At 36.6% G+C, this 24,885-nt stretch overlaps 1 long non-coding RNA gene across 9 annotated transcripts in view; it reads right to left on the bottom strand.

Annotated features, from left to right (window-relative positions):
• MIR99AHG (mir-99a-let-7c cluster host gene) overlaps positions 1-24,885 on the bottom strand; it is a 561,240-nt gene that overhangs the window by 399,611 nt on the left and 136,744 nt on the right. For all 9 annotated transcript variants that reach the window (NR_136541.1, NR_136542.1, NR_027790.3 and 6 more), the window contains one exon: positions 1,002-1,061. This is a non-coding gene — a long non-coding RNA (mir-99a-let-7c cluster host gene). The remainder of the gene's footprint in view (positions 1-1,001; positions 1,062-24,885) is intronic.

The following is a 24,885-nucleotide window of genomic DNA, read 5'->3' as shown; positions in this document are numbered from 1 at the left end:
GGAGCAGGCATTTATACCCAAGCTGCAGAGGAAGTGGGGACAGAGAAGGTGAACCTGCATTTTACATCATCATCACACTCATTTCTTGAATTTTTACAGTAGGTTGTGTGTTCATATACTGAAACCATTCACCAATTTATACAAAAGGTTAACAGGTTACATTAGGTGGTGAGAATATGCTTTTTAATTGTATTTATGTGTATCTAATTTATCTATCCATTATGAACATAGTATCATTTGTAATAAGAAAAATACAATAAATGCAATTTTGAAGCACATTGCTTGGGTCATGAGCTCAGATGGAGAACTATCTGTATTTTAGACAACTCTCTTATATTAAAAAGTATTAAAAGACTTTGCACCATCTGACTGACAGTGTGATTGTCAAAAACTTAAGCATAAAGTTTTCAGGGAGATAGTTCCTGCCACATAATTATAAAGAAGAAGAATGACTTCATGTATCCTACCTCAAAACTTGAGAAAACAAACTCTTAATGAAGAAGATCCCCAAAGTGAAGATAGACCAGCTTATCAAAGTTTCAAATGTATGAGGGTACTGAATTGGATATCATTTCAAAACATAGTTAATTATGTATCTATGGAAGGCTATAGGTTGTATTTTTATAATTTCGCTATAAGAAAATAAATGATACATAATTATCTGAAAAGATAGTTTTATGTGTATATTTTGATATACAATTCTTCTTATATATTGTTTACAAAATGTTTGCCAGTCACCTATTTTCAGAAATTTTACCTTTTACCAGATTTTAGAGTAAAGTGATTAAATAGTTCCCAGGCTTACATGGCATATATTTGCATCTCAGGATTATAATTTTTAAATAAAATAAAAAGAAATTCTTTAGTGATTCTAGTTTTTCTTATAAAAAAATTAAAACATGAGTGAAGAAGAGTAAATCAAGTTTCTCATTTCAATACTCAGAAAGTTATATTAATTATGGATAAACAAATATGATTACATAATAAGATGTTCTGCTTACCATTTGGATAGAATGCTTGCAATTTATTTGGATAATTATCCCAGTAAAATTCCTGAAGATCTGAAAAATAAGAATGATTGAGGAAGATTAATTAAACCTATCTTGTATATCATTTTATAATACATTAATTCCATGTGATCTTTGACTCATATTCATTCCAGACTCCTACATTCAGGCTCATAATTTTCATTTAATCTGAATATTAAGTAAACTTAGGAAACAGCTCACGTCTTTTATTTATTCACACACTCTTCTTATTGCCAGGAGCTACCTTTCCAGCCTGACTGCACTGAACCTCAACTCTGACCTTCACGAATCACACTGTGCAGTTAAAAGAAATAATTCACTCTAAACTCTGACTTGATACTCCCCTTAAACAAAATAGAGAGACTGTACCATTATGCTCATAATTTTTTTTATTATATTTTAAGTTCTGGGATACATGTGCAGAACGTGCAGGTTTATTACACAGGTGTACATGTGCCATAGTGGTTTGTGAAACCTATGTACATTTATTTCTCCTAATGCTATCCCTCCCCTAGCCCCCCCACGCCCCAACAGGCCCCGGTGTGTGATGTCCCCTTCCCTGTGTCCATGTGTTCTCATTGTTCCACTCCCACTTACGAGTGAGAACATGTGGTGTTTGGTTTTCTATTCCTGTGTTAGTCTGCTGAGAATGATGGTTTCTAGATTCATCCATGTCCCTGCAAAGGACATGAACTCATCCTTTTTTATGGCTGCATAGTATTCCATGGTGTATATGCGCCACATTTACTTTATCCAGTCTATCATTGATGGGCATTTGGGTTGGTTCCATGACTTTGCTATTGTGAACAGTGCTGCAATAAACATACTTGTGGATGTGTCTTTATAGTAGAATGTTTTATAATCCTTCAGGAATATACCCAGTAATGGGATTGCTGGGTGAAATGGTATTTCTGGTTCTAGATCCTTCAGGAATCGCCACACTGTCTTCCACAATGGTTGACCTAATTTACACTCTCACCAACAGTGTAAAAGCATTCCTATTTCTCCACATCCTTTCCAGCATCTGCTGTTTCCTGACATTTCAATGATCACCATTCTAACTGGCATGAGATGGTATCTCATTGTGGTTTTAATTTGCATTTCTCTAATGACCAGTGATGATGAGGTTTTTTCCATATGTTTGTTGGCTGCATAAATGTCTTCTTTTGAGAAGTGTCTGTTCATATTCTTCACCCACTTTTTAATGGGGTTGTTTTTTTTTCTTGCAAATTTGTTTAAATTCTTTGTAGATTCTGGATATTAGCCCTCTGTCAGATGGATAGATTGCAAAAATTTTCTCCCATTTTGTACGTTGCCTGTTCACTCTGAAGATAGTTTCTTTTGCTGTGCAGAAGCTCTTTAGTTTAATGAGATCCCAATTGTCAATTTAGGCTTTTATTGCTATTACATTTGGTGTTTTAGTCATGAAGTCTTTACCCATGCCTATGTCCTGAATGGTATTGCCTAGGTTTTCTTCTAAGGTTTTTATGGTTTTAGGTCTTATGTTTAAGTCCTTAATCCATCTTGAGTTAATTTTTGTACAAGGTGTAAGGAAGGGGTCCAGTTTCAGTTTTCTGCATAGGGCTAGCTGGTTTTCCCAACACCATTTATTAAATAGGGAATCCTTTCCCCACTGCTCGTTTTTGTCAGGTTTGTCAAAGATCAGATGGTTGTAGATGGGTGGCATTATTTCTGAGGCCTCTGTCCTGTTCCATTGGTCTATTTGGTACCAGTACCATGCTGTTTTGGTTATTGTAGCCTTGTAGTATATTTTGAAGCCAGGTAGGGTGATGCCTCCAGCTTTGTTCTTTTTGCTTAGGATTGGCTGGGCTATGCAGGCTCCTTTTGGGTTCCATATGAAATTTAAAGTAGTTTTTTTTCTAATTCTGCGAAGAAAGTCAATGGTAGCTTGATAGGAATAGCATCGAATCTATAAATTACTTTGGGCTGTATGGCCATTTCCATGATATTGGGTCTTCCTATCCATGAGCATGGAATGTTTTTCCATTTGTTTGTGTCCTCTCTTACTTCCTTGAACAGTGGTTTGTAGTTCTCCTTGAAGAGGTCCTTCACATCCCTTGTAAGTTGGACTCCTAGGTATTTTATTCCTTTTGTAGCAATTGTGAATGGGAGTTCATGCATAATTTGGCTCTGTGTTTGTCTATTATTGGTGTATAGGAATGCTTGTAATTTTTGCACATGGATTTTGTATCCTGACACTTTGCTGAAGTTGTTTATTTGCTTAAGGAGACTTTGTACTGAGACGATGAGTTATTCTAAATATACAATCATGTCATCTGCAAACAGGGACAATTTGACTTCCTCTCTTCCTATTTGAATATCCTTCATTTCTTTCTCTGGCCTGATTGCTCTGCCCAGAACTTCCAATATTATTTTGAGCACGAGGGCATCCTTGTCTTGTGCCAGTTTTCAAAGGGAATGCTTCCAGCTTTGACCCATTCAGTATATTAGCTGTGGGTTTGTCACAAATAGCTCTTATTTTTTTGAGATATGTTCCATCACTACCTAGTTTATTGAGAGTTTTTAGCATGAAGGGGTGTTGAATTTTATCAAAGGCCTTTTCTGCATCTGTTGACATAATCATGTGTTTTTCATCATTGATTTGCATATGTTGAACCAGCCTTGTATGCCAAGGATGAAGCCAACTTGATTGTGGTGGATGAGCTTTTTGATGTGCTGCTGGATTCGGTTTGGCAGTATTTTATTAAGGATTTTTGCATCGATGTTCATCAGGGATATTGGCCTGAAATTTTCTTTTCTTTTTGTTGTGTCTCTGCCAGGTTTTGTTATCAGGATGATGCTGACCTCATAAAATGAGTTAGGGAAGAGTCCCTCTTTTTCTATTGTTTGAAATAGTTTCAGAAGGGATGGAACCAGCTCCTCTTTGTACCTCTGGTAGAATTTGGCTGTGAATCCTTCTGGTCCTGGGCTCTTTTGGTTGGTAGGGTATTAATTACTGCCTCACTTTCAGAGCTTGTTATTGGTCTATTCAGTGATTTGACTTCTTCCTGGTTTAGTCTTGAGAGGGTGTATGTGTCCAGGAATTTATCCATTTTTTCTAGATTTTCTAGTTTATTTACGTAAAGGTGTTTATAGTATTCTCTGATGGTAGTTTGTATTCCTGTGGGGTCAATGATGATATCTCCTTTATCATTTTTTATTGTGTCTATCTGATTCTTCTCTCTTTTCTTCTTTATTACTCTGGCTAGGGGTCTACTATTTTATTAATCTTTTCAAAACACCAGCTCGTGTGTTTATTGATTTTTTAAGGCTTTTTCGTGTCTCTATCTTCTTCAGTTCTGCTCTGATCTTAGTTATTTCTTGTCTTCTTCTAGCTTTTGAATTTGTTTGCTCTTGCTTCTCTAGTTCTTTTAATTGTGATGTTAGGGTGTTGATTTTAGATCTTTCCTGCTTTCCCCTGTGGGCATTTAGTGCTATAAATTTCCCTGTAAACACTGCTTTAGCTGTGTCCCAGAGATTCTGGTACATTGTGTCTTTGTTCTCATTGGTTTCAAAAAGCTTATGTATTTCTGCCTTAATTTCATTATTTACACAGTAGTCATTGAGAAGGTTGCTCAGTTTCCATGTAGTTGTGCAGTTTTGAGTGAGTTTCTTAATCCTGAGTTCTAATTTGATTGTGTTGTGGACTGAGAGACTGTTTGTTTTGATTTTCATTCTTTTGCATTTGCTGAGGAGTGTTTTACTTCCAATTATGTGGTCAATTTTAGAATAAGTGCAATGTGCTGAGAAAATGTATATTCTACTGATTTGGAGTAGAGACTTCTGTAAATGTCTATTAGGTTTGCTTGGTCCAGAGCTGAGTTCAAGGCTTGAATGTCCTTGTTAATTTTCTGTCTCGTTGATCTGTCTAATATTGACAGTGGGTGTTAAAGTCTCCCACTATTATTGTGTTGGAGTAAAAGTCTCCTTGTGGGTCTCTAAAAACTTCCTTTATGAATCTGGGTGCTCCTGTATTGGGTGCTTATATATTTAGGATAGTTAGCTTGTCTTGTTGCATTGATCCCTTTACCATTATGTAATGTCCTTCTTTGTCTTTTTTTGTCTTTGTTGGTTTAAAGTCTGTTTTATCAGAGACTAGGATTGCAACCCTTTTTTTTTTTTTTTTTTTTTGCTTTCCATTTGTTTGGTAAATATTCCTCCATCCATTTATTTTGAGCCCCTGTGTGTCTTTGCACGTGAGATGTGTCTCCTCAATACAGCACACCAATGGGTCTTTACTTTTTATCCAATTTGCCAGTCTGTGTCTTTTAATTGGGGCATTTAGCCCATTTACATTTAAGGTTAATATTGTTATGTGTGATTTTGATCCTGTCATTATGATGCTGGCTGGTTTTTATGCCCATTAGTTGATGCAGTTTCTTCATAGTATCAATTGTCTTTACAATTTGGTATGTTTTTGCAGTTGCTGGTACCAGTTTTTCCTTTCCATATTTAGTGCTTCCTTCAGGAGCTCTTCCAAGGCAGGCCTGGTGATGACAAAATCTCTCAGCATTTGCTTGTCTTTAAAGAATTTTATTTCTCCTTCGCTTATGAAGCTTCGTTTGGCTGGATATGAAACTCTGGGTTGAAAATTCCTTTCTTTAAGAAGGTCAGATATCGGCACCCACTCTCTTCTGGCTTGTAGGGTTTCTGCAGAGAGACCCGCTGTTAGTCTGACGTGCTTCCCTTTGTGGGTAACTTGACCTTTTTCTCTGGCTGCCCTTAACATTTTCTCCTTCATTTCAACCTTTGTGAATCGGATGATTATGTGTCTTGGGGTTGCTCTTTTCGAGGAGTATCTTAGTGGTGTTTTCTGTATTTCCTCAGTTTGAATGTTGGCCTGTCTTGCTAGGTGGGGAAAGTTCTCCTGGATAATATACTGAAGAGTTTTTTCCAACTTGGTTCCATTCTCCCTGTCACTTTCAGGTACGTCAATCAAACGTAGGTTTGGTCTTTTCACATAGTTCCATATTTCTTGGAGGCTTTGTTCATTCCTTTTCATTCTTTTTACTCTAATCTTGTCTTCCTGCTTTATTTCATTAAGTCGATCTTCAATCTCTGATATTCTTTTTTCCACTCAGTCGATTCAGCTATTGATACTTGTGTATGCTTCACGAAGTTCTTGTGCTGTTTTTCAGCTCCATGAGGTCACTTATGTTCTTCTCTAAACTGGTTATTCTAGTTAGCAATTCATTTAACCTTTTTTCAAGGTTCTTAGCTTCCTTGCGTTGGGTTAGAACATGCTCCTTTATTTCGGAGCAGTTTGTTATCAGCCACCTTCTGAAGCCTACCTCTGTCAATTCATCAAACTCATCCAGTTTTGTGCAGTTTTGTTCCCTTGCTGATGAGAAGTTATGATCCTTTGGAGGAGAAGAGGCGTTCTGGTTTTTAGCATTTTCAGCCTTTTCGTGCTGGATTTTCCTCACCTTCGTGGATTTATCTACCTTTGGTCTTTGATGTTGGTGATCTTTAAATGGTGTTTGGGTGTGGACGTCCTTTTTGTTGATTTTGATGCTATTCCTTTCTGTATGTTAGTTTTCCTTCCAACAGTCAGGCCCCTCTGCTGTAGGTCTGCTGGAGTTTGCTAGAGGTCCACCCCAGACCCTATTTGCCTTGGTATCACCAGTGGAGGCTGCAGAACAGCAAAGATTACTGTCTGCTCCTTCCTCTGGAAGTTTCGTCCCAGAGGGTCACCTGCCAGATGCCAGCTGGAGCTCTCCTGTATGAGGTATCTGTCGACCCCTGGTGGGAGGTGTCTCCCAGTCAAGAGGCATGGAGATCAGGGACCCACTTGAGGAGGAAGTCTGTCCCTTAGCAGAGCTTGAGTGCTGTGTTAAGAGATCCTCTCCTCTCTTCAGAGCTGGCAGGAAGGAACGTTTAAGTCTTTTGAAGCTGCGCCCACAGCCGCCCCTTCCCCCAGGTGCTCTGTCCCAGGGAGATGGGAATTTTATCTATAAGCCCCTGACTGTGGCTGCTGCCTTTCTTTCAAAGATGCCCTGCCCAGAGAGGAAGAATGTAGAGAGGCAGTCTGGCTACAGTGGCTTTACCCAGCTGCAGTAGGTTCCGCCCAGTTCAAGCTTCCCTGTGGCTTTGTTTACACTGTGAGGAGAAAACTGCCTACTCAAGCCTCAGTAGGAGCAGATGCCCCTCCTTCCACCAAGCTTGAGTGTCCCAGGTCGACTTCAGACTGCTGTGCTGGCAGCGAGAATTTCAAGCCAGTAGATCTTAGCTTGCTGGGCTTTGTGGAGTGGGATCTGCTGAGCAAGGCAACTTGGTTCCCTGGCTTCAGCCCCCTTTCCAGGGGAGTGAACAGTTCTCTTTGCTAGCATTTCAGACACCACTGGGGCATGAAAAAAAACTCCTGCAGCTAGCTCAGTGTCTGCCCAACCAGCCGCCCAGTTTCATGTTTGAAGCACAAGGCCCTGGTGGTATAGGCACCTGAAGGAGTCTCCTGGTCTGTGGGTATGTGGGCCAGAATGCATCATTCCTCACGGCACAGTCCCTCACGGCTTCCCTTGGCTAGGGGAGGGAGTTCCCGACCTTTTGTGCTTCCTTGGTAAGACAACGCCCCACTCTGCTTTGTTTCGCCCTCCATAGGCTGCACCCACTCTCTAATCAGTCCCAATGAGATGAGCCAGGTATGTCAGTTGGAAATGAAGAAAACACCCGCCTTCTGTGTTGATCTAGCTGGGAGCTGCAAACCAGAGGTGTTCCTATTTGGCTATCTTCCCCACAACCTACACTCATAATTTTTAATGGTACTTCACAAACTTTCTGTAGGAGAAAATTGCACTATAATCTTCAAGTGTGATCAGAGGAAATCTACATTCTGAACTTTTTGAGTCTATATACTAGGTGAGCTAATTTGTATGTTTGGCAATTATATCACCTCTGGAAATATATTTATTTTAAGATTGTGATTAGCACGTTATTTCAGACATGGTATAATAATTGTCAAGTACTTTTATAAGACCAGAGAACTCTCATCAATTTAAAAAAATCCTTATTTTTAGAAGATGAGGAAAATGAAACTCAAGGAAAGAGAAATGGCTTGGCTAAGATCTAAGCTTAGAAGCAGTGCTATGGCCAGGCTAAGTCTCAAAGCTTTATTTTATGCCTCTTTCCATGGCATTATTTTGAAATATATTTATTAAAGCTGTAATATATTCCAAGCATCTAACTGAGCACTGGGGAATCAGTAATGAACATGATAGACAAAGAACCTGATTTCATGAAGCTTAATTCTAATAATCTTGGTTCATTAAAGTATTGAATAAACTCTTCCATCCGTATAATTAATATAGAATGAAAGTTTAACCAAGATGCCAAGAGTTCAGAATGCAAAAAATATATTTTTTGACCTACAAAGTGCTTAGCTGAACATCTGAATATCTTTGACATGTAGATAGACATTTTGTGCAAAGATAAAACTTTCAAAAAACAAGTATTTTTTTTCCATTTCATGTTTTCAAAGATATGCTTTATTTACTTACTGATCTGATTCTGTGTTAACTTCCAGGCTCAGTGTGACGCTTAAAAACATGCTGTAGAGATTAAAATTTCCACACGTGCAAATGAGCAAATAGATTCCACACGCAAGAGCAAAATAAAGACCTTGAGATCCATTCTGCAAATCATTTCTTAACTACTCTTTCATATTTGGCAGTGAGTTCAGCTGTTCTGCTTATAGTAGGCATTTGCAAAATAGAATGGCATCGTTTAAAAATAACAGATTGGATCTTTAGATCACTAAAACACCTTTCTCGTGCCTACATTTTTATGCTCCCTACCAATAAGATATAAGTAACTACATTCCTGTTTAGTTGCATTATCTTAATGACTTTGGATATCAATTATTTTAGAATGACTTTCACATGAGGCAAATTGGGATGGTTTTGTCACTATAAAAACATCAGTTGAAATCTGGAAAACAAAGAGCCCAAAATAATTTACTAAACATAAGGCCAAGTTGCCAAGTTTTGCCTAAAATTACAGTTGTTCCTAAAATTATAACAACAGAAAGATATGTAGAATGGTTACTCAGTGTGAAGTGATTATTGGTTAGGCTTCCTTGTGACCGAGTCCAAAGCCTCTGAATGTGACTACCAACTTGATTCACTTAGAAATGCCTCTGTTTTAGCATAGTTACCTTTCAGATTTTCTCTAAACCTCCTTAATATGGCATTCAGGATACTGAATTAGTGACTGATTTCACCAAAAAGAATCAGCTCATAGAATGGACCCATCAGAGAACGCCTGAGGAGAAGCATTCTCTATGTTTTAAAGAGGAGACAAACCCAGGCACATAGTCGGTGATTGATAGAATGGAATCTGGTTCATGCTCCTTTACTACTAGTTCTGTGTCTTTTCCACAACGTCATAGCTATGATATGAAGTGTTTTATTCTTTGTCATACACTTAGGACATAAGGAACATTTTATGGTATATATCATAAAATAAAACTCCTTACATATATTACAGAACCTTATATTACATATTATTACATATATATGTAATTCACCATATACATGATATTAATTAGAAATTTCTGAACTTGAAAACTGTGCCTTCTGCTTCTAGGGACCAGCTCCATCATATAAAGACACTATCTGTGTCATCGTTTCAGAATTATACCATTACAAGATCATAATCAATTGCACCACCAAGGCTTGTAACTATTGTCTTTGACACTTTCATCCTATTTTCTTGGAGTAAATTTTCTCCAGCAGATGAGACTTCAACAGGCTCTTCTCAAGTGCCTTCTCCTCCTAGAATCAAATTTAGTACATTTCTAAGAAAAATCTCAGAGCTTATTGTCTTACATTAAGCTTTTTTTTCCTAATCACTGTCATTATAAAAATCAGGGATGTGAGATTCGAGATTTTCAAAAATGTCAAATATCAGTGTGTCCCGCTTTTATTCTATTTTTTTAAAGTATTCACTCTAATTTATATCCTTGAAACACGTGGTGCATGCATTGAGATTGCTTGTCATCTAATTAGAAAAAAATGTCAAAGATTGTTTAAAGTATTATCTTACTTATTACTGGGAATTGAGGGGTCAAATAAAACACAAGTAACAGAAACACCGTTTTACTTATTTGTCATTTGTCATTTTCAAATAAGGCAACAGCAAGGAGTCAAATGTTTATGACAGAAATAAGTCACATTAGTGCTGAATATGTTTTCTATAAATCTACCAGTAATCATATGTTTAGAATAGATTGGCCAATTTTTAAATGTCTTTGCTATTATAGAGTTAAATGAAGGTAAAGAGAAAACCAAAAGAGAAAGAGAAAGAGAAAGGAAAATTCTAATTATGATTATAATAGTCATAATTTACCACATGCCCACTATGCATTATTGAAGAGTTTGAACCAGAGAGTGACATGACTTGGTTTACTTTTTTATGATATTATTGTGGCTGGTAAGTGGAGAACAGATGGAAGAGTGGGGCTGGAGTGGCTCTAGATAAGCAGAGAGAAAAGTTAGGCTACTCTTGTAGTCTGGGGATAACGTAACTATACTTTCAATTAGAATGCAGTAGTAGAAATTGACAGGAACATAGGAAGTTGAGATGTCTGGAGAATAAACTGTGGAAAAGAGAATCAAGGACAACTCAGGTCTTCAGCTGAAGCAACAAGGTAGACTGTGGTGCTGTTTATTAAAAGGGTGTGTCTAGCATATGGTGGAGGGAAAGAGATTTGGAAGAAAGACTACCATTTCGGCCGTTTTACCTATGCAGGTTTAAAACATTGCTATATAAGTGGTTAATAGGCTGTCCTTTCATATACCATAATTTCTATTTTATCATCCACAATTTTCTCAATAATAAGAATAGCCAGTTTGCCCTTTTTCTGCTGCATTGTGTTGAGAGTTGCTGTATCTGTGCCTTGTGAGTAATTCCTATCTCTTCTACATTTTCAGTCTCTCACTCCACCAGTTATTTTCCCATAGACTATTAGTAATGCCTTTGTGTCTCTTGTCTAATTAATTAATGCATCCCTCTACCCTGTGAATTCCTCCAGTTAATGTCCTCCCCTCCCCTACATAGCTAAGCTCCTCAAAAAAGAACATGAACCTGTTCATTTTAACTCTTTCATTTGTATTTTATTCTACTATGCACTGAGTGGGTGCTCCACTTATACTTCCACTATGTTACTGAGACTGGTCTCACAAACGTCCCTAATAAACTCCTAATTGTGACACCCTATGGATTATGTTGGTAAGTCATATATATATATATATATATATATATATATATATATATGGCAGGTTGCTATTCCTAATGTTATTCTTCCTCCTCTAAACATTTTGCTTTGTGCGATATTAACACTACATTTATGAAACGTCAATGACCAACAAATCTACATCTCTAATTCGTCCCTGTGTTCTAACCTTTGGGCCCACATATTGAACTGCATACTTGGAATCTCCACCTGGCTGCCACATAAACACTCCAAACAAAACATAGCTAAACACTGAACACTAACCACTTCTCACTCTTGCCTCCCAAACCTCTTTTCCTATTCCTATTGGTGAACAGCATCACCATCTACCCATTAACCCAAGACAGATGCTTGGGAATCTACTGCCTCTTCCACATCATCCAAATTTTATCATTGACTTTGACTTGTTAATACTACTTCTGGCCAGGGGTGGTGGCTCACGCCTGTAATCCCGACACATTGGAAGGCTCAGGCAGGTGGATCACCTGAGGCCGGGAGTTCGAGACCAGCCTGACCAACATGGTGAAACCCCGTCTCTACTAAAAATACAAAAATTAGCCAGGCATGGTGGCATGTACCTGTAATCCCAGCTACTCTGGAGGCTGAGGCAGGAGAATTGCTTGAACCTGGGAGGTGGAGCTTGTAGTGAGCTGAGATTGTGCCATTGCACTCCAGCTTGGGTAACACAGTGAAACTGTCAAAAAAAAAAAAAAAAAGAAAGAAAGAAAGAAAACACACACACACACACACACACACACACACACCCTACTACTTCCTTAACATATACTGCATCAAATCCTTTCCTCTCTATCCCCACCATTCAGGCTTTATTTTATGTCCCAATATTACCAGAAGGAATCATTTAACGCCTCTTATTGTGCATTCCCCATTCATCCCCTGCATTTCTGCCAGAGGGCTCTTTCTAAAATGTACAGCTCTGTTGCTCTCCTGCTGAAAACCCCTTAAAAGATCTTCACTGCCTAAAGGAAAATGTTCATGAACTTTGGCATGGTTTTTAATGGTTTCCAAAATCTTACCCCTGCTTTACCACCTTACCTTCATTCTCATCTCTCAGCATGCCTTATTTACATGCCTTAGTAGTCACAGGTACCAGACATGTGGTTTCATGCTTCTTTTATCCTCTCAAATGTTCCATGTCTAAAACATATCTCCATCCCTGCCTGTGAAAAAGAATCCTATTTCTGTCTATCCAGATTCTGTTGGAGCTTCCCCATATAAATGAACCCTTTCTTGATGGCACTGGTAGAAGAGGTTCTTCTTGATGACTTTACTCCTGTTGATACACAGTTCTTATAAAGCAACTCAAATATTTTATAGAACCCATTGATTTTATGCCTCTAATGTCACTATACTGGTCTTGCCTTGTTATCTCCACTAACATGATTGGTAGTTCAATACATTACTGATGACATTCTAGAATAAATACAGAATAATGAATTAATTAATAAATAAATGATGTATCCCAAAACCCTACCAAAAAACACTAACACATCAAAACATTTTCAAAAAATTCTCCATGACTTTCTAATCCCATTTTAAAGCACAGCACACTGAAAATAACATACCTACATGATACGCACAGTCTAGTATGAAAAGAACAAAGTGTCAACATAGGACAAATCTATTAGGTCAACTATTGACAGACATAAGCCATTTCATGGACTTTGGCTAGAGCTAAACTTGAGAAAACTATTTCACGTTAAACTTTGAACTTTAGAATTTAGGAAGAGGGCAAACGACCAAAATAAGCTGCATAATCAGCTTAAATTCAATCAGCACTATTTCTAGATATAGCTTAAAGATCTGTGAGCTGTCTTGCATCTTATTACCAAAATTAACCATAGACAAAGCATGTGAATTGCTTATGATCTTCAGCAAATAGTGATTTTCAAAAACACGTGTAATCTTATTCATGTGGTTGAATCAGAACTACATTTACCCAGCAGTACAGATGGATATGATTTGCTCTGGAAACTGAGACTGTTTTATTACTTTACAGTTTTTACCTATAAAAATAAATTTACATGATAGTGCATATGGTGAGTCTCAGACCTTAAAATATGCCTAGAAATAGCTGAATAAAAATGCCATCACACTGCAGCTATGAAATTCAGGTTGGATGCTTTCACACTGTTTACTTTGATACCACTATAGTAATACCTTTGTGTCTCTATTTTAATTTTATTTTAAAAATACATAGCAGTAGGCTGGGCACGGTGGCTCACATCTGTAATCCCAGCACTTTGGGAGGCCAAGGCGGGTGGATCATGAGGTCTGGAGATCGAGACCACCCTGGCTAACACAGTGAAACCCCATCTCTACTAAAAATACAAAAAAAAATTAGCCAGGCGTGGTGGCGGGCGCCTGTAGTCCCGGCTACTCGGGAGGCTGAGGCAGGAGAATGGCATGAACCTGAGAGGAGGAGCTTGCAGTGAGCCGAGATTGCGCCACTGCACTCCAGTCTGGGCGACAGAGTGAGACTCCGTCTCCAAAAAAAAAAAAAAAAAAAAAAAAAAAAAAAAAAAAAAAAAAAAAAAAAAAATTTATCTATATATATCTATATATATATATAGATATATATATGTTATATATATATATACACACATAGCAGTATATAAACTCATCTTTCCTGTAAAAAATCTGAACAATACAAATGTATTTGAAGTAAATTTTCCTTCCCCACCTTTTCTTAATTTTATTTTCCTCCCCAGAGGTTAAGTGTTTAGTGTATATCATTCAAGTTATATGATACATTCACATAATAGATCTTTTTTAATATACATGTCATTTATAAAATGTATTGTTCTAAGTCTTGCATTTTCTCTTAATAGTAAGACTTAGAGACTTTGTTGCTAGAAGTATAAACTGTCAAGAACAATTTTGAAATTCAACTTTTAACTAGGAATTCCACTTCTGCAAAAAATGGCATATACAGTGGTGATTATTATAGGGATGTTCAAAACAATGAAGCAGAGGAAATGAAATAACCATCCAACAATAGAGGAATGTTTCAATATATGGTATGATGATAAGTCCATGCTATGAATTATCATGCTGCTGGTTTAAAAGTATGAGGCAGATCTAAATATAGTGAATTTATGTACCTATAAGTTATTTCACAATGTTTCTCTGGAATTATTAATTCAGCCTTATTTCCAAGCAATATTCCTTACCATTTGACTCTCACACTCTTGTCAACCACCATCTTAGAGATATATTTTTCATAGAGACATAGGAAGGGATTAGTGGAAGATGGAAGATGGAGGATCCTGAAAGCTTGGTAAGCGGCAGGGTCCTATTTTGCCTTATATTAAATAACACAGAAGGAAAGAAAGACCTAGTAATAGAAAGACCTAGTAATAGGAATACCTGGGCCATGTTAATCACATGCATAGCTAAGCTAGTTTTTATTTGCAGAAAGTAACAGCAAGGAACTGATTGAAAACTAAACTATACATAGTACTTAAGATTGCTGCACATAGCTGCAAAACAGGCCCAGGTGCCAAGTTATTAAAAAAAGATTAATGAAATGAAAGCAGAAATACTAGGTGTGAAATATGAGAATAAAAGGGAAAGAAATTATAAATATTCAAAAAAGAGCTTAAGAAAAAAATGAGAAATACTTTTAGACATGTGATATAAATAGTTTTAAAATATTCATCTTCTCTCAGAGTAATAAAGAGAGGGCTAAATATTACGCTTAAAAAGATCAAAGGAAGAGGAAAGTTATTCTATAACTAAAGATAAATTCACAATTTTATAAATAAAAGTTTCAAATGTGGAACTTTTTTCAAAAATGTCACTTAATCTACTTCATATTCTCTCCTTTGAGACGAGAGAAAACTTACTCTGACACATTTTTTGTGAATTATTTTTCAAGGTCAGATTAAATAAACATATTCTAAGAAGATTGTTCACATAAATTATCTCATTTAATTCTCTCAGCAGCCCACTGGGGTAGAAATTCATAGCTGCATTTTACTACTGGATAAACGGAGGCTCAGAAAGTATAAGAAACTCAGCCAGCCGGAACACTTCAGAGCTGGAATTTGAATTCCCATTTGTTCACTACAGCTTTAACACTCTTTCTATCTCATCACAGTTGCTTTAAAATCATTATGTAAGAATGCCACCAGAATGGAAATGAGTACATTGCATTCAGTTTTAGTTAGCTTTTTCTGATTAACAGATACATTCACATTACATATTTTAGGGTAGTGTTTATAAAATGCATAATGACTATCACTTAATAAACCTGATTATACAGAGAGTTGTCAGACATATCACCCTCTTTTTATGTGGTAGGGTGGATTACAAGGCTCCGAAATGAGTTCTTTACTGTTTTTTTGTTGTTTTGGGTGCTCTGTTTAAAGACAAATTTTTTGTAATTAAATAGCAATCAGACATTTAAAAGACAAGCTGATCTCAGTACTGTATTTATGTAAGGCAGACAAAGATTGCATTTTCTATTTTGTGGTCTGGACACCTGGGGCACAAACTTCAGTAAGAGGGTCAACATCACTGAAATAATCCCTCATGTATCTGTCATATAAACAAGGCTTTAAATTCTGAAAACTCCATATAACAAAAAGAGATAAGTATTTTTCACATTACTATTATGAAGTGCCAATGTTTCTGTTCTTAGTTGATTTGTTCTTGTAGCCACTTGTATAACTTTTTAAAAATCATTTTCCACTTAATAAAATGCTTTGCACTGGCAAAACATAATTATGTTATGCACGAGCCACAGAGATAATTATAGTTCCTCCAGACATTCTTAATCTGTATTAGTGGAAACAAGTTACAGGGTGATGAGAACCTCACATATCATTATCCAATCTCAACAGCTGCTTAGTTAATCTTGCCATAATCAAATCCAAGTTATCATCCTATCATTTCTAACCTGCCATGTTCTTCTGAATTTCTGCTGATTTAAAGACATATCTATGCACTGTTGTAAGTCCTCAGATCTATTTAAGACTGCACTATGATTAATGTGTCTCACTAAGCCAAATGTCCTTTTTCTAACATAATTTAAGACTGCACTGTGTCCATATTTAGAATTCAACCTAACAAATAAGTGCTTGCTGAACTTCTCCTACATCCTTCGTATTAAAGGAAAGAGGGAGCCTTATGAGTATTAGAGAATCTGCTATATGTTCACAAGCAACCAAATCCTGCCATGGAGAAAATAAATTCATTTACACTATGATATGTCCAATTTTCCATACCTCTTAATTTGCCTAACACTTAAAAGTAGCAATCAAATGTCAAGTTTTCAGCTCAGTAATCTATCATCAACTAATTATCATCAATATAGGAAGCATTCCTTTTTAGAGCTGTATTAGAACCTTACTAATTGTAGTTTAGTACTTTGTCCTGTTTGGTTTTGCTTATTCCAAGTGCCAGGATTTCCACCATTTCCGATGGAACTTTCCTCTGTAATTGAACAAATTTCACTACTACGTTGTATTTCCTGTGATTGAGTTTATCCTCTTCCTGATGATTATTAAGCTGTGGACAATTACCTTAAATCTTCAGGACAAAAAATTAATTCTTCTTTGTTTTTAGCAATCTAGGAGACTCAATAATCATTTGTGAGTTTCCCAAGATTAATAAGCTTGTTCTTATCTGTGAAGTGTCGCCATCATTGAAACCATTTCTCAATGATGGCAATATTATTGCTTTTGACAAGCAAGGAAAAAGTTACAAAGGACTGGCTAAAATATTTAAGCCTTTCTATACACACCAAGAGACTCCAGGACTCCCTCTTTGGGGAACAAAAAGTGCAGGTAAATGAAAATCCTCCTTTTGTAAAAGAACTAGAGAATACATCCTACCTGCCAGGTGCGGTGGCTCAGCCTGTAATTCCAGCACTTTGGGAGACCGAGGCAGGTGGATCACCTGAGGTCGGAAGTTTGAGACCAGCCTGGCCAACATGGAGAAAACCTGTCTCTACTAAAAAAAATACAAAATCAGCTCGGCGTAATGCCGCATGGCCGTAATCCCAGCTACTTGGGAAGCTGAGGTAAGAGAGTCACTTGAACGTGGGAGGCGGAGGTTGCGGTGAGCTGAGATCATGCCATTGCACTCCAGCCTGGGCAACAAGAGCAAACCTCCATTTCAAAAAGAAAAAAGAAAATACATGCTACTACTTAGAGTGAAAAAACGATAGGAAAACAAACCCAACAGGTACTCATACATATACTCATCCTTATTAATATGTCTCACTGATGACTCACTAAATCCTTCAGGGTCTTCAAGACACCTGAAAAAGTTTCTTTATTCTTATTTTAATGTGTGCTTATAATTCTTAATCTGGAAATATTTTATATTAATTGTAAGTATGTTAGCCCATTCAAATCATACCTATATGCAATTTGCTCTGTTTTACGTATCAAACCCCTGTTACTAATCAATAAACTCACTGAAAGACTTACCCAGTTATTATATATGCAGACTTAGCTTCAGAGGTTGTTTTACTCCCCATATTCTATTTTTTTCACTGCCTTATTTAAATAAGTCAAGTTTCCTATATACTTAGTCCTTCTGTAGTACTGTCCTGCAGAGCAAAAGAAATGGTGATGAGGCATAGCAAAACAAAATAAAAATTTTCCCTCCAAGTGCATACTATTTAAAAATCAGTGGGAGTTTATTTTTTAAAAACTCAAAAGTATTCTGTTGTGGTTTTATTCCAACTCAACAAAATTTAACAAGAGCACCTGATTCTTACACATTTTCAGCCTAAATTCTCAAATCACAGATTCTAGTACATGAGATAGATTTGAAGAAATGCCAAAATCAAAAACCAAGAGACTTGAAAAAACATTAACAGATAATTTTAAGTAGAGTGGTGTGATGTAATAAGAATTGCAATGTAGAAAAATAATCCTTTGGCAGCAACCAATTATAGGGTAAAACTTATATTCTTTCTTTTTTTTTTTATCTCAGTCATTGCCCTAATATTTTACCTTACTGAATTGCTGGAATTGTATCATTCTCCCAGGTGTTAAAAGCCGAGACTGGTAGGCTGAGGACCAAGACACCTCTACAGACTCATCGGTAGGCTGAGGACCAAGACTCCTCTACAGACTCATGAGTGATCAGAAAGTCGCAACAATAGGCCATGGGATTTATGTCAGTGGAGTTAAGCCATGATGTTATAAAAATACTAGAGTGACCTCAGAAGGGAAATGATTTTATACACTGTTTGTGTATGTAAAACATGTAATAATTTGGCCCTCAAAATAACTCTGTGAAGTGGATAGAATGGTTATGTGGATAAAAACTAAAAACTCAGACAAGTTTCATGGCCAATAAGGAGGGAAACTAAGCTAAAACCCATATTTTCTGGTAACTTAGTCCTTTTTCCTCTTGCTTAATCAAAATTTTCTTCACTCTCTCAATACCATCAACGAGTAGGAAATAATAAAAGTAAATTTCAAACACGTTTAATATGTCTTTTTCTTCCCTTTTAAATATTTTTGGAATGTATCCATTATTGAAAGGAAACCTACACCTTAGATCAAAGTGTTTAAAGAGCACATAAATACTACTACCCATTATAACAGGAAACCACATGATTAGATACAATTTTTTATTACAATTAATGCACTTCCACTTGAATTCTGCTACCACACTATATTTCCAATTGCCATTCTAAGCTTAACAATTATACATAGCACATAATATGTTTGAGGGTAGTAAGACAATTTTTCTGAAAGTTGGAATAATTTAAATTATCAATCTAAAAGTTACATGTTAATTATGACTCTATGGCTGTCATCTAAACTTTGTTACCCCTTCTCTGACGGAGTTGAGGAGGATCTTTCATTTTGAACTTGGCAAGACTTAGGCTATCTTCTTGGAGGACTAACAGTCTCAGTTGCCAGTGAAAAATATTCTTAAGTCAAATACCTGAAAATGAGACTTCACATATTCTACATCAACACTATTTGATGTTTTACATTGTGGTAAATTGCAGCTACGTCTAATGGGAATAGAAGAGGCTATTTTACTCCTCAAACGTTTAAATACTTCCCCTGCATCATAAAAATGAGAAAAGAATGGCCCTCAAAACCCTATTTCAAGAGTGCCCTTTATGGTGTGAATACAGTATTCTTGATTATGCAGATGAGACTTACAGGTGCCATTGAAGAAGAACTCCAATATTACCTTTTCCTTCACTGAAGTCTAGCAGAATCAAGACTCATAATGCCTTCAAACTCTCTGAAATGTTACCTTTCAGTATCATTTCAAAAAATATCTATACCCTGACCATAACTCTAGAAGAGAATGTAGAATGAAGATTAGAGCCATATAATTTTGGTTAAGGAAAAACAAAGATAAAAAAGACTTTTTAATGAGTTTTTAAAAAGGTGGGGGCATGGTCTATCCTATATAATTTATTATTCAGTTTTGTTTTGCAAAATGTGGTAACTTGTGGCTATAACAGAAGATATTTTTACTGTGCTTCTCTTCAAGTTCAAGGCTTTCAGAGACGTCATTGTCAAACCCAGAAAAAATTCTTGCCTTGGCAGGTTTTAACAGATCCTTAGTTAATGAGATCGACTGTTAGCTGTTAGTGCCCTTTGGAACTCATCAAATAATTCCCAAGGATTAACGATTGAGAACACTCTGTCAGTGAAATACAAAATCTCTGGATTACTCACCAACATAAACAATCTGCCTTTTCAAATCGACTTTCTCAAATGTTTTGCCTGTTCTCTCATTTCCATTCCCAGTGCATTAGTTCAAGCTGCTCTGCACTACTCCCATTCCTAATTTCTTTCCATTCTACTTGTTCTGAACACTGCTTTCTTTCTCAAGCATTTGCTGAAGATTTTGAAGTGACTCCTGAACTATAAATAGGGTGCTTAAGGCCTGTCATGTGATAGTCCACAAATATCTTTCAGATATCTTTATCTCTGCCCCTATCATAGAATCTCATCTCTGGCCATTTTATAGTTTCCTGTTGTCATGTCACTTTTCATGCTGTAGCCTCTATCTCTGCTGATGACGAGTCCCTGCCTATGCTTCAAGCTCTGTTCCAATACTGCCCCTTGCAAAAAGTTTCTCCTTATGAGAAAGTCTTTATCCCTCTACTGTATAAGCTAATAAATCCAGCCTTGCATTAACACTGACTTACGGAAAGTTCTGTTCCGTAACTACTAAGAATCTAGAGGGTAGAAAATGTATACTGGTTGTAGAAGTGCTCTCCACAGTGCCTGGCTCAGAGTTTGTACATACAACCAAAGTTATCCTACGTGTGTTATCTGGCTCTCATGAGGGACACAGAGAGATGACATTGCCCAGATTCACCTGAGCAAGGTATGGCCATGTGGCTGGGCACTGAAGAGTGGAGTATATATGGGTCTGCTCCAGGTCCAGACCATAAAATTTCCCCATGTGTGAACTAATACTTCAATAGCAACTGTGGAAGTTGCTATTGGTGGAGCTACAAGATGGAAAGAACTTCAGTCTTTGAATCAGGGAGTAAAAAACTGTCCAAGGCATACTGCGTGGATTGTAATCTGAACAAGCTCTGAACCTCTAAGAAGCTGGGGTTTTATCTATTACATCAGCTGATATATCCTTATAACACAGCAAGTCTGCTGATTGGTCAGCCAATTATTACAATGGAGACTATAATAAATAATGTTATTAATGTAGACATATGTATATATGTGTATATTTATATAGTTAAAGTTTTCTTTACCTGTGTGCCCATCAAGCATAATTTTATTGCTATTGCTTTTTGTGTATAAACTGCCCCATCAATAATTTTGAATTTAATATATTTTTAAATGAATGGAGAATTTAGTCACTAGAGAAAAAAATTTCAGTACAGACATCTGAATTTTTATAATTTGTGTAGTCTTTTACATTTGTATTGTCCATACTTTATGCAATGGAAATACTTCTTAGAGACTTACTTTTATCAAGACTTGCCAAAGCAAAAGCTCAGTTTTCAAAGAAATAATAGCTTGCTTTCTTTATATATACATTTTTAAAAATCAGTTTACCTAATTTTTAATTAAGTAAAATCACATAAACCACTGCCATAAATAATGTTTGAGAACAAGCATGATTAAAGCTATTATATGTTCGTGATATTGAAATTCTTTATATTTAGTTTAAGCCTTGTACTTATTAATGCATTTCTCTTCTCCCCTGTTTCTATGCTCAGGGTCTCCAGGCACATACAATCCTACCACACTGTTGCATTTGAGATAAACGAACACATTAAGAAATGGAGCTGGTACAATACCTATCTAATTGAATTGTGAAAGGTAGTTTACCAGAAGATATTAGCATGTTTTACTTGTGTTGTGATGGCTGTGTGAATTACTGGTCCAGAGAGAATATTATACAACCTTATTGCATTTTAAAGAACGTATGTTTTCTTAACTTTTTTTAAAATCATATATGAAAACCAGTATGATCTGCACATTTGAGATAGGCTCTTAAAATACGCATCTCCAGGTTTGACTTCTCTCCTTCATTGCTTGCAACTGCCAAAAGGACTTGCCTCTCGGCTTTCTTATCACCCCTCACAAACTTATTATTTCCCAAACTAAGCTCCTCTAGTCTCTCTACCATTAGCTCCTTTCCTGAATTTCCTGTTTCTCAGAGTTTATATGTCCGTTCTAGCCATTTTCAGCAGAAGACCAATATATTTGCTATTTGGAAATTTTCTTTTCATATCTATCTTTCCCTTTTCATCCCCCAAACAATCTCACTTCTAAGTCAAACTCCACCACAAGTTGCCCTGTGTCAGAGGAACACACCCTCTGCACCTGTGCTCCAACTATGGATGCTACCCATCAGTTTCTGTATCTATAGCAGGCCCTCTTCACTTTTCCAGACTAACTCCTCATCCTCCAGACTGTCTTACGTCTCCCCTGGAAACAATAAGTCGATGAGCCACTGGCCCAGTAGCCTTTGCCCTTGAACTGGGTGAGACTGAAACTGTCAGCTGAAGTTTTTAGCAGGGGATTCAGAAGGAGGAGCAGTCAAACATCTCTGTCAAGTTATCACGTTCCTTTCCCTCAGAATGCACTTTTAAAAGGTGAATCTTCCTATTCTACCCATCTCTTTTGGGTTCCCAGAATTTATTTTATTTTATTTTATTTCATTTTTTGAGACAGAGTCTTAGTCTGTCGCCCAGGCTGGAGTGCAGTGGCGCGATCTCGGCTCACTGCAACCTCCGCCTCCTGGGTTCAAGTTATTCTCCTGCCTCAGCCTCCCAAGAGCTGGGATTACAGGCATTCGCCAACTTGCGTGGCTGATTTTTGTATTTTTAGTAGAGACGGGGTTTCACCATGTTGCCCAGGCTGATCTCGAGCTCTGACCTCAAGTGATCTGCCTATCTCGGCCTCCCAAAGTGCTGGGATTACAGGCATGAGCCACCATACCTGGCCTTGGCTTCCCATAATTTCTATGTCCATCATCTTATAGAACAGAAGAATTTACCCTCATGTGTTTGAGAATTATATTTTCCTAGAGTTAAAGATTTTATAAGAGAACTTTTACCAATTTGGCAAAAATGTCTGTGAACTAGAAGGTCCCCAGTCCATACTTTATATATAACAGGGGTCATAACTGTTCCCTACAATCCTGTCCCTTAGAACTAAATCTTACTTCTGTTTTCTCCTGGTTTTAGTCTGGGATAACTTGGCTGGAACGACTTTACCTTGGCTGGCATGGCCATCTCGTCTTTCCTCCAATGCTGAACCCAGCCTTTTGCTGCTGCTTAGATTTAACAATTTCTCCATTTGGACACTGTTACTCTTCTGGGATTTGCTACCTCTGTATGGAATTGGTTCTTCAGACCTTCTCACTGACCACTAAATCCATTTGACTAAACTTTTAAACTCCTAGCCATATATTCCAATCTTTGCCATCACTCAAAGTCAAACAAATGTTTTGCTCTTACATTATTTGCTCTCACATACATTGTTTATTATCAGTCAATCCAGAATGTTCTTGCCTTGCTTCCTACATCTCTAACATTCATTTGGTAATCTTTTATCCTCTGAATAAACCTATTTATATTCTGCTTTTTTCTATAAAGCATTAAGGAAGCTCTCTTAGTTAACCCTCCCTACTGCAACTCAGCAATGTGTGAATAGGAATTATAGCTCAGATAGTTGGCTCTAGATCCCAAAGCACCTTCCATAGTGGCTGTAAAGTGATTAGACATGTAAAAAATTCTGGATTGCTGATAGGCAACATGTAGCATTGCCCCTCTTAAAACAAATTTAAACACCCACTAATCCCAAAAAGTTCATCTAGATTGTCATTATTTGAAAAAATTAAAAATAAATGAGACACAGTGTCATGAAAAGCAATAGTCACACATTCTTCAAAATGAAATGGACTAAAAAGATACAACCATCTTAGTTATCTGTGAGCCCCTATAACTAGCAAGTACCAGGGAAAGATTGGAAGCTCCAAAATTGATGATGAATACAAAATTTTCCCTATGTTAAAAAACTGAATTCCCTGGCTTCAAAGATATTAAAGAAAGTCAGCCCACTCAAATTTTCCTAAAAAGGATTAATATTACTTTGAAATTACTTGATTCATTAATAATTAATCTTTAAAATAAGAATTCCAATGAATACACACTCTGATTCCTCCTTTTTAATGGTGCATTCTGGAACTTTCAAACCATACAATTCATTTTGTCATGATTTAACTTAAAGTATATCAGTGACTTATGCAGATGAAATATGGAATATAGCATTCCATAAAGTATGATATGTGTATATCTCTCTATGTACATGTATCTGTCACTATTAGTCTTTGCATGTGTGTGTGTGTGTGTGTGTATGTGTATAGTATTAATGTCCCTTTTCTACATATCTGTTTGTAGCTAGTCATTTCTAATCACCCAATACATAAATAAATTTATTTGCTAAAGGCGTAACAGTGATTAAAAAGTTAATAACATTTAGTAAATATCGATAATTTCTTCTACCCACAGAAGTAAATAATTCTAAATGTTGATTAAAGGGCTCTAAATCTAGATGATTTGGGCCATATTCCTGTTATATTTGTCCCTATGTAATCTCTAGTGTGTGAATATATAAATAATATTGATTGCAAACAGCTTGCTAAATTGTTTTGTGATATCCTGCCTTCAAGAATATATGAAATCTAATCTTGCTAATTTAAATCTGACTGACAAGAAAATATTGATTGAGAAGATGAGAACAATAAGAAAGTCATTTAAATGTTGCTATAAGATATCAAAACTTAACATAGAAGAGACTGATGTCAAAGAATACCATATTGAGCTTCAAGATTTAAAACGTTTACCTCTTCTTTGTTGAGACAGATATTTTACAGAGAGTGGAGTAAAATTTCTGCTGAGGAGAGGAACTGTGTCAGCAATGGGGAACAGTGTAGAAGAATTTTAAAGCACCAAGAAGTGGCAATACAAATAGGGTAATGAAAGACAGATTTTGCTAAGAGCTGAAGGCAAACAGGACTTTCACTCCAAAGTAACAAATTATGAGACGTGAATGCAGAAATCAGCTACACTTTGCAGAAAGAAAGGTAAGAGAAGTCAAATAAGAC

Source organism: Homo sapiens, chromosome 21 (genome assembly GCF_000001405.40).
Source record: "Homo sapiens chromosome 21, GRCh38.p14 Primary Assembly".
Taxonomy (NCBI): Eukaryota; Metazoa; Chordata; class Mammalia; order Primates; family Hominidae; genus Homo; species Homo sapiens.
Note: the sequence above shows the minus strand (reverse complement) of the source record. Positions and strands in the feature narration are given on the sequence as shown.